Here is a 12,930-nt window from a genome sequence, read left to right as displayed (position 1 = left end):
CGCTGAGGCCAGCCCTGTGAGCTGGGTGGGTCCTGCTAACGAACCCATTTTACAGATGGGTCGAGCAAGGGGCAGAGGGTGGAGGGAAGCCGCTCTGAGACCCCAGCTGGGGACAGGTGGGGGCTGAGAAGAGTGGGCAAAGCTGGGCCATTGGGAAACTCCTGCCCCAAACTCAGGCCGGGGAAGAAAGAAGACATGGGTCCCCACTGTGCCTCCTGGAATTGGTCTGTCGGGGAGTCTGGGTGCTGCTGACAGGGTCCCATGTCTGCCCTGCCTGTCTCTGAGGGCTCCGAGAAAAGCCAGGGAGTCTTGGCTTTGGAAGTGAGACTAATAAAGTGCTTTAGCCCCACCCCAGTCCTCACTGACAGATGGGGAAATTGAGGCACAGAGCGGCAACAGATGGAGAAACCGAGGCACGGAGCGGTGACAGGTGGGGAAACTGAGGCACAGTGGGCATGAAGTCTCAAACCCCACCCGCCCGGGAAGGCACAGGGAGAAGCTTGTGCTTTTTCAGGATGGAAGTGGACGGAACTAGGATGCAGAAGACCCGGCCAAGAGCAGTCTCCCACTCGCCACAGCCCAGTGTCACTCTCTGGGCCTCGGTTCCCCCATTTGAACCTGGGACTAAGGTTCCTTTATTTCCCTGCCCTTCGGGGGCAGAACAGAGGCCTGTCAGGGACTGTGAGGCGGCCCTCTCTCCATGCCTGGTTTCAAGGCAGCTGGAGGGTGAGGGGGGCTCTAAGCTGTGGGACTCTCCCGTGGGGACTGATTTCCCGTTCTCTCCTACAGCAAAGGCAGGTGAAACTATTGTCCTGTAGGCCTCAGAGTCCCCGTCCAGGAGAGCCGCCTCTTCCCTGTGCAATGCTCTGAGTGCCTGACATGAACCAGGTGCAACCTCCAAGGTTTCCATGAACCCTGACTCATTTATGGGGTGCACTCGGGGGAGGGCAGGGGAGACCCCAGCTGAGAGGCCCTCCCTGCTCAGGCAGCCAAGACCCAGCTAAAGTAACACCCATCTCCTTGGTGGCTGGAAACCTAAGAGGGGACCCCTAAAACCAGGACCAGACCAAGCCATCCTCACGCCCCATGTCTGGGTGGCTTCTGACCAAGCCTGACTTGACTTCCCCTCCCAGACGGAGCTAGGACAGCACTCGGGGTGCCCCAGCCCATGCCGGCACCCTCGTGGATCTCTCACCCCCATCTTCTGGACAGGGACACGCGTTTGGGGTGTCTCTCTCTCTCCCACATCCCCCGACAAGCCGGCATCTTTTCCAGGTGATTCCTGAGCCCTGCGTATGAACTTCCTCCTGTTTTCCTCCACAAGACAGAGGCACAATTCCCACATGTGAGCTTTTGCTTGTGGAGCCAAGGGAAGCTGGAGGCTCAGGTCTCCGGCTTCCATTGCTGTGTGGCCTGGGGCAAGTCACTGCCCCTCTCTGTGCCTCGGTTTGTTTGTCTGTAATTTGGAAGCTAATAGTCCTGCAATAGGCTGGGCATGGTGGCTCACGTCTGTAATCCCAGCACTTTGGGAGGCCGAGGCGGGTGGATCACCTGTGGTCAGGAGTTCGAGACCAGCCTCGCCAACATGGCGAAACCCCATCTTTTCGAAAATACAAAAATTTGCTGGGCGTGGTGGCGGCCACCTGTAATCCCAGCTACTCAGGGGGCTGAGGCAGGAGAATCGCTTGAACCGGGGAGGGGAAGGTTACAGTGAGCCGAGATCGCACCACTGAACTCCAGCCTGGCTACAGAGTGAGACCCTGTCTCAAACAAACAAAACACAGGCATTTTTCTCCAAAAGGCCGATGTCATGTAAAAATCCATCAGCATACGGCATCCCTGCCCTGCCCCGTACTGGGTGATGCTGGGGATCCAGAGAAAATGTGGCCCCAGCTCCCATGGCTCAATAAGGGCTTCTCAAATGAAAGGACAGCTGTAGGATCTGGAGGGGCCTGATCCAGAGGCCACACCACGCTACCAACATTTTTTTTTTTTTTGAAGACAGAGTTTCACCCAGGCTGGAGTGCACGATCTCAGCTCACTGCAACCTCTGCCTCCCGGGTTCAAGCGATTCTCCTGCCTCAGCCTCCCGAGTAACTGGGATTACAGGTGCAGGCTACCATGCCTGGCTAATTTTGTGTTTTTAGTAGAGACGGGGTTTCACCATCTTGGCTAGGATGGTCTCGATCTCCCGACCTCAGGTGATCTGCCTGCCTCAGCCTCCCAAAGTGCTGGGATTACAGGCATGAGCCACTACGCCCAGCCTTTTTTTTTTTTTTTTTAAACGGAGTCTTGCTCTGTCACCCAGGCTGGAGTGCAGTGGTGCAATCTCATCTCACTGCAACCTCCGCCTCCCGGGTTCAAGCGATTCTCCTGCCTCAGCCTCCAGAGTAGCTGGGATCACAGGCACCCACCTCCATGCCCGAATAATTTTTTTTTTTTTTTTGTATTTTTAGTAGAGATGGGGTTTCAGCATGTTGGCCAGGCTGGTCTCAAACTCCTGACCTCAGGTGATCCACCAGCCTCAGCCTCCCAAAGGGCTGGGATTACAGGCATGAGCCACCACACCTGGCCTATCAATATTTTAAATAAAGACAGGATCTGATCTGCACTTGTTTAACCCTGCTTCTCTTTGCCTTACCCTGCTCCTCCACCCGGGTTCCAATAAAACTTTATTGACAAAAACAGAGGCTCGGCCCATAGTTTGCCGGTTAGGTTTTGTGAAACATTCAGTAAAATGATGTTTATCTTGATTACTGAGGTGCATGTTTGTCTGTTTTTGCATTGTTTTATTATTTATTATTGATTTATTTTTGTGATAGGGTCTCACTCTGTTGCCCAGGCTGGAGTTCAGTGTTATGATCATAGCTCCCTGCAGCCTCGACCTCCTGGACTCAAGCAATGCCCCCACCTCAGCCTTCTGAGTAGCTGGGACCACAGGCACACGCCACTGTGCCAGGCTCATGTTTTATTTTTTGTAGAGATGGGGTCTCACTGTGTTGCCCAGGATGGTACCAAACTCCTGGGCTCAAGTGATCCACCCACCTCAGCCTCTCAAAGTGCTGGGATTACAGGCATGTGCCCAGCCTTTGCATCATTTTAAACTCTGTGGCGGGCGCAGTGGCTCACGCCTGTAATCCCAGCATTTTGGGAGGCTGAGGCGGGCAGGTCACCTGAGGTCAGGAGTTCGAGACCAGGCTGGCCAACACGGTGAAACCCCAACTCTACTAAAAATAATAATAATAATACAAAAATTAGCCAGGTGTGGTGGTGCACGCCTGTAGTACCAGCTACTTGGGAGCCTGAGGCAGGAGAATTGCTTGAACCCGGGAGGCGGAGGTTGCAGTCAGCCAAGATTGCGCCACTGCACTGCAGCCTGGACAACAGAGTGAGACTCCATCTCAAAAATAAATAAATAAAATAAAAATTAACCAGGCATGGTGGTGCACACCAGTGGTCCCAGCTACTCAGGAGGCTGAGGTGGGAGAATCACTTGAGCCCAGGAGGCGGAGGCTGCAGTGAGCTATGATCACACCACGGCACTCCAGCCTAGGGGACGGAGCTAGACCCTGCCTCAAAGAAAAAAAAGTGTGGCATGGGACCCACTCAAGGGAAGTTCATAAGAAAAATGTAGTCTCCTTCCCCTCCTGCCCCTTCTCAGGGGATTGGGGGAGGCCAGGGGGACTCAGCAGTGGCTCTGTGGACCTCTGCTCCCAGCCTCGAGCTGCTGCGTGACCCTGGATGGAGCCCCTACTCTTTCTGGGCCCATTTTCCCTAAGGGAAACGGGATCGGGGATCCCACATAAAATACACTCAATCCTTGCAGCAAAAACATCTTTGGGGCCGGGCAGGGTGGCTCACACCTGTGATCCTAGCACTTTGGGAGGCCGAGGAGGGAGGATCGCCCCAGGAGCTCGTTCCAGGCTGCAGTGAGCTGGGATTGCACCACTGCGCTCCAGCCTGGGCAACAGTGTGAGACCCTGTCTCCAAAGAAAAAGACAGTTTTGACAGGCACGCAGTTCAGCTGGAATTTCACCCCGCGTCTGCTTTTCCTTGGGTTTTTTCCATTCTTGATTTTTCCATTTATGGTGATTTTATCTAAAACGTCTTTTCTAAATAAATGCATCGAGGCAGTGAGGAAGGGGGAAGGGGGAAAACGAGCCGATTCCATCTTTTCAAAGAAAAATCCAGCAGGCGTGGCTGTTAGCAGGCGGGATGTGGGAGCCACTCTTCTTTCTTCGCCGGAGCACGGAGAGGGTGGGGATTTGCCCGCAGTCACACAGCGAGGCGCGGCAGAGCCGGGAGGGTCCTCGCCCACGCTCCACATTCGGGGGCCCTGGGATGGGGCAGGGGGCCGCTGGGGGCTCCTCAGATGCTGCCGCAGGAGGGGAGGTGGTTCCCGGGGAAGTGAAACCCACAGACCCCACTTGCACCTTCTCCAGGGACAGCCGCCACCGTGTTCTGTGCGCTCCCCTACGGTGGGCCAGCTCTGCCCCTCTCTCCCCATCTCACAGGGCTCCCCACTGCCCCGCACCCCAGCCTGGCCTCTGAGGCTGTGGGGGGCCTTCCACTGCCCCCACCCGGCTGTCAGCCCTGGGGCTATTGACTTTCAGATCCCACCTCCTGGTCTCTGTCCAGGCTGTTCCCTCCCGGTTACATCCTGTCCTCTGCGGGCGGGCAGGGGAGGCGGCGGCCTCGGCTGCTGGGGAAGTGTTGCAGAAATGTCCCCTCCCCACCCCGGGCTGCGGTCTGACAGTGGGCCGGACGTTTTCCTGTCAGCTGCCGGCGCCAGGTCAGACCCCTCCTGCGAGGCCAGGGGCTGTGGCCATTGGGAGTTTGTCCCCACGGACCCCTCCTCCCCCAGAGGGCACGCCAGTCTTGAAGGTAGGGGGCTCCTGGAGCGGGGAGCTGGACAGAAGCGGCCACTTTTTGAGGTTGGGATCTGGGCGGGGGTGGGTCGAGGCCTGGCTGCCGGCAGCAACCGCACGGCTGAGCCCTCGGGGATGAGGCCTGAGTGTGGATCCCTGGGTCCCTGGACACTGTCTCCCCCGCAACTGACCCCCAAAGGCCTGTCCTCAGGCTGAACACTCTGTCCCCATCCCAAACGTGCAGAGGGGGGTCCTTCCCACTGCCTGGAAAATTGATGGGTGACAGACCTGCCTCATGATTGAGGAAGTGGGCCCAGAGAGGGCAGGAAACCCACTCGGGATCACACAGCAGGGCCCCAGAGAGGGCAGGAAACCCACTCAGAATCACACAGCAGGGGCCCAGAGAGAGTAGGAAACCCACTCGGGATCACACAGCAGGGCCCCAGAGAGGGCAGGAAACCCACTCGGGATCACACAGCAGGGCCCCAGAGAGGGCAGGAAACCCACTCGGGATCACACATCAGGGGCCCAGAGAGGGCAGCAAACCCACTCAGGATCACACAGCAGGGCCCCAGAGAGGGCAGCAAACCCACTCAGAATCACACAGCAGGGGCCCAGAGAGAGTAGGAAACCCACTCGGGATCACACAGCAGGGCCCCAGAGAGGGCAGGAAACCCACTCAGAATCACACAGCAGGGGCCCAGAGAGAGTAGGAAACCCACTCGGGATCACACAGCAGGGCCCCAGAGAGGGCAGGAAACCCACTCGGGATCACACATCAGGGGCCCAGAGAGGGCAGCAAACCCACTCAGGATCACACAGCAGGGCCCCAGAGAGGGCAGCAAACCCACTCAGAATCACACAGCAGGGGCCCAGAGAGAGTAGGAAACCCACTCGGGATCACACAGCAGGGGCCCAGAGAGGACAGGAAACCCACTCGGGATCACACAGCAGGGGCCCAGAGAGGACAGGAAACCCACTCGGGATCACACAGCAGGGTCAAAACTGGACAAGGGAGTGGAGTGTGGGTGCGCCTGTTCTCACCAAGGGCCCTGGAGCAGGAGGCCTCGACGGTCTCCCAGGCCCCAGCACTCACGGACCCCTCCCCATGTCGCCCTGTGCGTGCACACGGTCACCCCACACACGCCCCGTTTGACCTTTCCCCAGCAACATGAGCAGCCCGGAGCCCCCCACAGAGCCCCCCGAGCCCGACAACCCCACCTGGTCGACTCAGCCCACGTATAGCAACCTTGGTAAGCAGCTCCCCAGGGAGCCCTGGGCTGCGGGGGTGCAGGGAGCGGCAGGGGGGTGCAGGGAGCGGCAGGTGGGTGCAGGGAGCGGCAGGAGGTTGCCGGGCACCATGGCCTCTGGGAACAGCAGCAGCTGGTAAAATGAGTGACCTCCGGGAAGGCCCGGAGTAGGCCAGGGCTGAAAAATAACCTGTGGGTTGGTGGGCGGGGCGTGGTGGCTCACGCCTGTAATCCCAGCACCTTGGGAGGCTGAGGCAGGTGGATCCCTTGAGGCCAGGAGTTCAAGACCGGCCTGGGCAATATAATGAGACCCGCCCCCCATCTCTACAAAACAAAAAAAATGAGATGGACATGGTGTCAAGAGCCTGCAGTCCCAGCTGCTCGGGAAGCTGAGGTGGGAGGATCCCTTGAGCCCAGGAGGTCAAGGCTGCAGTGAGCCATGAAATAGAAAAAAATATATACCATTAAAAAGAGAGAGAGGCTGGGCACGGTAACTCATGCCTGTAATCCCACCCTTTAATCCCAGCACTTTGGGAGGCCAAGGAGGAGGATCACTTGAGGCCAGGAGTTCAAGACCAGCCTGGCCAACATGGCAAAACCTGTCTCTGCTAAAAATACAAAAATTAGCCAGACATGGTGGTGCATGCCTGTAATTCCAGCTACTCGGGAGGCTGAGGCAGGAGAATCGCTTGAACCTGTGAGGCAGAGGGTGCAGTGAGCCAAGACTGAGCCACCGCACTCCAGCCTGGGCGACAGAGGGAGACTCCATCTCAAAAAAAAAAAAAAAAAAAAAAAAAAAGGCCAGGTGCAATGGTTCAAGCCTGTAATCCCAGCACTTTGGGAGGCCGAGTCAGGCAGATCACCTGAGGTCAGGAGTTTGAAACCAGCCTGGCTAACATGGTGAAACCCCATCTCTACTAAAAATACAAAAATTAGCTGGGCATAGTGGCGGGCGGGCACCTGTAGTCCCAGCTACTTGGGAGGCTGAGGTAGGAGAATCGCTTGAACCTAGGAGGCGGAGGTTGCAGTGAGCCGAGATCGTGCCACTGCACTCCAGGCTGGGCGACAGAGCAAGACTTCAAAAAAGAAAAAAAGCAAGACAGACGCTTGTGCAAAGCCACGGAGGTAAGTGGGAGTCGCTGAGTGCTGGGTGGCATCACTCTCTGAAACTGATCCATCCTCCTATAAGCCTCAGTTTCCCCTTCTGTAAGCTCTGCCGCCCAGGCTGGAGTGCAGTGGCACAATCTCGGTTCACTGCAAGCTCCACTTCTCAAGTTCACACAATTTTCCTGCCTCAGCCTCCCGAGTAGCTGGGACCACAGGCGCCCACCACCAAGCCCGGCTAATTTTTTGTATTTTTAGTAAAGACGGGGTTTCACCGTGTTAGCCAGGATGGTCTCGATCTCCTGACCTCGTGATCCACCCATCTCGGCCTCCCAAAGTGCTGGAATTACAGGCATGAGCCATTGTGCATGGCCGCGTCCGGCAAATTTTTAAAAAATTTTTGCAGAGACAGGGTCTCACTATGTTGCCCAGGCTGGTCTCAAACCCTAGGTTCCAGTGATCCTCCTGCCTCGGCTTCCACCTTCCTAAGTGCTGGGATTACAAGCATGAGCCACCGGCGCCCAGCCTCATTACTTCCATGTTAGAGATGGGGAAACCGAGGCTGAGAGGTGGAGTCACGTGTCCCGTTCCCACTCCGCCTGTCCTCAACCCTCCCCCACTGTCTCTCCCTGCAGGTCAGATCCGTGCCCACCTGCTGCCCTCCAAGGCCTGCCGCCTCCGGACCCCTGGGTCCCTCTCCACCAACCCAGAGCCCCTGCCCCCACCCCTGCCCAAGAAGATCCTAACCCGGACCCAGTCACTGCCCACCCGCAGGACCCTCCATCCCAGCTCCATCCAAGTACAGCCGCCTCGGAGACCCTTTCTGGGGTCCCACAGTGTGGACAAGAGCCAGGCTGCAGTGGGACCAGCCTGTCTCCCTGCAGAGCTGACCTTTGGCCCGGCTGACGCCCCACTGGGCCTCTCCCTCCGCGATCTGCACAGCCCGGAGGCTGTGCACACTGCACTGGCTGCGCGGCAGCTGCAGGGCCTCCGTACCATCTATGCCCGGCTCCGTGCCCGGCTCATGGGGGGCCACCCCGGGCCCTGCCACCCCGGCCACAGCTTCCGCCTCCTAGACAGCTCACCCTGCGCAGAGAGCGGGGACGCCCTGTATTACCGCGTGGTGCGCGCGCACGAGGACGCCTGGCACATCCTGGTCGCCAAGGTGAGCCCCACAGCCCCACCCTCTCTGAGGTGTCCCCAGTGCCCCATCTTAGACATAACCCAGGGCTTGTTTCATTTGGCCTTTCTGTGAGTCAGTTCTCACACTGCTGTAAAGAAATACTGGAGCCGGGCGCGGTGGCTCACGCCTGTCATCCCAGCACTTTGGGAGGCCAAGGCGGGCGGATCAGCTGAGGTCAGGAGTTCAAGACCAGCCTGGCCAACATGGTGAAACCCAGCCTCTACTAAAAATACAAAAATTAGGTGTGGTGGCGGGCGCCTGTAAACCCAGCTACTTGGGAGACTGAGGCAGGAGAATTGCTTGAACCCGGGAGGCAGAGGTTGCAGTAAGCCAAGATTGGGCCATTGCACTCCAGCCTGGGCAACAGAGTGAGACTCCGTCTCAAAAAAAAAAAAAAGAAAAAGGCCGGGCACAGTGGCTCACACCTGTAATCCCAGCACTTTGGGAGGCCGAGGCGGGCAGATCACGAGGTCAGGAGATACAGACCATCCTGGCTAACACGGTGAAACCCTGTTTCTACTAAAAAGACAAAAAATTAGCCGGGCGTGGTGGTGGGCACCTGTAGTCCCAGCTATTTGGGAGGCTGAAGCAGGAGAATGGCATGAACCCAGGGGGCAGAGCTTGCGGTGAGCCGAGAACGCACCACTGCGCTCCAGCCTGGGCGACAGAGCGAGACTCCGTCTAAAAAAAAAAAAAAAGGCTGGGCAGCACAGTGGCTGACGCCTGTAATCTCAGCACTTTGGAAGGCCAAGGCGGGCAGATCATGAGGTCAGGAGTTCGAGACCAGCCTGGCCAACATAGTGAAACCCCCATCTCTACTAAAAATACAAAAATTAGCCGGGCGCGGTGGTGCGCACCTGAAGTCCCAGCTACTTGGAGGCTAAGGCAGGAGAATCACTTGAACCTGGGAGGCGGAGGTTGCAGTGAGCTGAGATTCGAAAATTGGGCTATTGCACTCCAGCCTGGGCGACAGAGTGAGACTCTGTCTCAAAAAAGAAAAACAAAAGAGAAGAAAAAAGAAAAGAAAAGAAAAAGGAATACTGGAGACTGGGTAATTTATAGAGAAAAGGGCCTTAATTGGCTCATGGTTCTGGTGGCTTCTGCTTCTGGGGAGGCCTCAGGAAGCTTCCAATCATAGTGGAAGGCGAGGCGGGAGCAGGCATCTCACACGGTGGGAGCAGGAGGAAGGGAGGGAGGAGGTGCTACTCACCTTTACACAGCCAGATCTCACGAGAACTCACTCGTTATCCCAACGACAGTGCCAAGGGAGATGGTGCTGAGCCATTCATGATAAACCACCCCCAAGATCCAAGTCGCCTCCCACCAGACCCCACCTCCAACACTGGGGAATGAGATTTGGTGGGGACACAGATCCAGACCATATTAGACTTGTTTATTTTGCAACTAACACGTGAATCAACGCAGTTAACCCAGGAAACCATGTTTCTAAAGTATGGGGCCATGGGTATGGCCTTGGAGCTCTTGTCAAAACCCCTCCCACACCTCTCTGGCCGGGGATCTGCTTTTGTGTTTTTTGTTTTGTTTTTTGTTTTTGAGACAGAGTCTCACTCTGTTGCCCAGGCTGGAGTGCAGTGGCGCGTTCTCGGCTCACTGCAACCTCCACCTCCCGGGCTCAAGCGATTCTCTCACCTCAGCCTCCGAAGTAGCTGGGATGACAGGCGCGCCACCACGCCCAGCTAGTTTTGCATTTTTTAGTAGAGACGAGCGTTCCCTGCGTTGGCCAGGCTGGTCTCGAACTCCTGACCTCAGCGATCCCCCTGCCTCCCAAAGTGCTGGGAAGGCGTGAGCCACCGCGCCCGGCCCAGGAATCTGCTTTCGAACTCATTGCCCAGGAACATCTTCTTCCCTGGCTTAACTTTCCTGAAAGTCCTTACTGGTGACTAACTTCCAAATTAACACTGACCTCCTGCTGCTGGAGGGATGCAGGCAGCCCCTAGCCGTAGTGGGGGCAGTTTGGGGGTGTGCGTGGGAGGCTTCGGGGCAGGTAGCACTGGGGCAGGCGGTGCTTGTGGGGGGCCCAGTGATCCAGGCCCCGACACCCCCTCTGCCTTGCAGGTGCCCAAGCCCGGGGCGGACGTGCCCCACCCGTGGGGCCTGGAGCTGCAGGCCTCCCTGTCTCCACACTTCAATCTGCAGGGGCTGTGTGGCCTGGTGCCTGAAGGCACACTGCCCGGGGCGCCCTGGAGAGGCGCAGTGGCGCTGGCAGCCGAGGTTCCAGAGCGCACGGTGGCGCAGTGGCTGGCGGAGGCCTGCACGCAGCCGCCGGAGGAGTTCGTGTGGGCTGTGGCCCTGCTGCTGCTGCAGCTGAGCGCGGCCCTGAAGTTCCTGGAGGCGTGGGGCGCGGCCCTAGTCGAGTTGCGGCCGGAGAACTTGCTGCTGGTGGCACCTCGGGGCTGTGCGACGACGGGGCCCCCACGCCTGCTCCTCACTGACTTTGGCCGCGTCTGTCTGCAGCCCCCTGGACCCCCGGGATCCCCGGGCCCCCACGCGCCGCAGCTGGGCAGCCTCCTCCGAGCGCTGCTCAGCCTTGCTGCGCCCTCGACCACGCCTTTGGCCGCGGGCCTGGAGCTCCTGGCAGCACAGCTGACCCGCTTGCGGCCCTCGGCGTCCCGGACGCGGGGCGCGCTGCAGGCGCTGCTCTGGGGGCCCGGGCCTGAGCTGCGCGGCCGCGGAGCACCGCTTGGTCCCTGGCTCCGAGCGCTCGGGCCCTGGCTGCGGGTGCGCCGCGGGCTGCTGGTCCTGCGCCTAGCAGAGCGGGCCGCAGGTGGGGAAGCTCCCAGCCTCGAGGACTGGCTGTGTTGCGAATACCTGGCCGAGGCCACCGAGTCCTCGATGGGCCAGGCCCTGGCGCTGCTGTGGGACTGACCCCAACCCAGGGCGAACACACCTGGTCCAGGCCTGCCCAGGAGGCAGGGCTGGGGCTGAGGTCAGCGTCTCCATGATAGCCAAGACACCCTCTTCCTGCAGAGTCCAGGAGCGCAGCAGAGAGAGCAATGCCCCACTCCAGAGCCTCCCCTCCCGTGCTGGGGATGTGGGTCAAGGGCTTCCCAGGAATGCAGCTGCCCCTCCAGGGCTGGGGGCTGGCCAGCGCCTCCTGTGTTGGGCAGCAGCTCTCTGAAGCCAGGGCCCCCACGCCACTTCCAGGTGTGGACAACCCCGCTGATCAATGTCTCTCTGTGTTCTGCCTTCCCCAGCAGCCAGGGCGCTCTTCCGCGTGGGTTCTGTCATTGTCTCCATGAGAGGCCAATGCCGGGACCAGAGGCATTCCTGGCTCTGGAGCACCCCCTTGTGCTGAAGATGGCCAGTGATTTTGGGCATGTGAATGCCCCTGTCCCTGGTGGAGAATTGCTTGGTGGTGTCACGGGAAGGGAAGGCTCCCTGGGACCTTAGACACCCAGCTCATCTCAGCGGGGTCTGGACTCACCTTCCCTAAAACAGTCCCCGCGGTTCCCTGCCACCTCCCCTCAATCCCTCTGCGCCCACCCTGCCTCCCTCCCTGTTCCTCCGTGACACACCAACTTCTTTCGCGCCCCCAAGCATTTGTGTAGGCTGTTCCCTCTGCCATACTGTTCCAGTTCCACTTTCTTTTTCTTTTTTTTTTTTTTTTTTTTTTGAGACGATCTCGGCTTACTGCAAGCTCCGCCTCCCGGGTTCACGCCATTCTCCTGCCTCAGCCTCCCGAGTAGCTGGGACTACAGGCGCCCGCCACCACGCCCGGCTAATTTTTTGTATTTTTAGTAGAGACGGGGTTTCTCCGTGTTAGCCAGGATGGTCTCCATCTCCTGACCTCGTGATCCGTCCGCCTCGGCCTCCCAAAGTGCTGGGATTACAGGCGTGAGCCACCGCGCCCGGCTACAGTTTCACTTTCTCTAAACAAATAAAGGTGCCCACTCTGGGCCATCGCTAGCTCCTTACCCTGCGTTCTCCGCCCACTCTCAGGAGCATTTATTCCTCTGTTACTGTCCACAAGGCTGTGAGTTCCCTGGGGGCAAAGGCCAGGCTTGGCACACAGTAGGTGCTCACTTAATACCACAGGATGATGTAATAAACAGGCACAGAGGAGACTCACTGGAGGGGGATGGAGTCTTCCTTTATGCCTCTGACACACTGCACTGCCCTTGCCTGTGGCTTCCTTCCTGGAGACTCAGAGTTGCCCCTCCATTCCATTCCCCATGGCAGTCCTGGGAGGATCTTTCCAACCCCAGATATGAGGTCCCTCTCCAGCTCAAACACCTCCCATGGCTCCCCAGTGCCTCAGAATACATACAGGGCTCTTCCAAAGTCTCCTCAGAGTCTCCAACCCCATGTCGTTCATCCCTGGAGGTTACTTTCCAGCCTCCACGCCTTTGCCCAAGTTGTTTTTTACACCAGAAAACAGCCCCCTCTACTCTGCTTCATACTCCTATTCATCCTGCATGGCCTCAGCTCTAATGCCCCTTCTCTGCATTTGCGCTGCCCAAATGAGCTGGGGGTATCTGTGTCCAGGTTTGTCCTCCCGGCCGAC

At 58.2% G+C, this 12,930-nt stretch overlaps 1 protein-coding gene across 1 annotated transcript, besides 3 other annotated features; it reads left to right on the top strand.

Annotated features, from left to right (window-relative positions):
- Positions 1-4,795: 4,795 nt before the first annotated feature.
- On the top strand, positions 4,796-12,340 carry PEAK3 (PEAK family member 3). Its single transcript, NM_198532.3, has 4 exons — positions 4,796-4,884; positions 6,036-6,121; positions 7,858-8,387; positions 10,482-12,340. Exons 2-4 carry the CDS (start codon positions 6,040-6,042, stop codon positions 11,289-11,291), a joined length of 1,422 nt encoding a protein of 473 aa, NP_940934.1. The 5' UTR covers positions 4,796-4,884; positions 6,036-6,039; the 3' UTR covers positions 11,292-12,340.
- Positions 4,941-5,080: an enhancer, noted in NCBI's record as "active region_13675". NCBI's record gives its function as "activates an Ori minimal core promoter by ATAC-STARR-seq in GM12878 lymphoblastoid cells {active_cell/tissue: GM12878}" and the evidence as "EXISTENCE:reporter gene assay evidence [ECO:0000049][PMID:35858748]".
- Positions 10,986-11,920: an enhancer, noted in NCBI's record as "H3K27ac-H3K4me1 hESC enhancer chr19:2275050-2275984 (GRCh37/hg19 assembly coordinates)". NCBI's record gives its function as "activates a minimal SCP1, AML or CMV promoter by ChIP-STARR-seq in primed H9 embryonic stem cells {active_cell/tissue: H9 hESC(primed)}" and the evidence as "EXISTENCE:reporter gene assay evidence [ECO:0000049][PMID:30033119]".
- Positions 12,725-12,864: an enhancer, noted in NCBI's record as "active region_13674". NCBI's record gives its function as "activates an Ori minimal core promoter by ATAC-STARR-seq in GM12878 lymphoblastoid cells {active_cell/tissue: GM12878}" and the evidence as "EXISTENCE:reporter gene assay evidence [ECO:0000049][PMID:35858748]".

Source organism: Homo sapiens, chromosome 19 (assembly GCF_000001405.40).
Source record: "Homo sapiens chromosome 19, GRCh38.p14 Primary Assembly".
NCBI classification, from domain to species: domain Eukaryota; kingdom Metazoa; phylum Chordata; class Mammalia; order Primates; family Hominidae; genus Homo; species Homo sapiens.
Note: the sequence above shows the minus strand (reverse complement) of the source record. Positions and strands in the feature narration are given on the sequence as shown.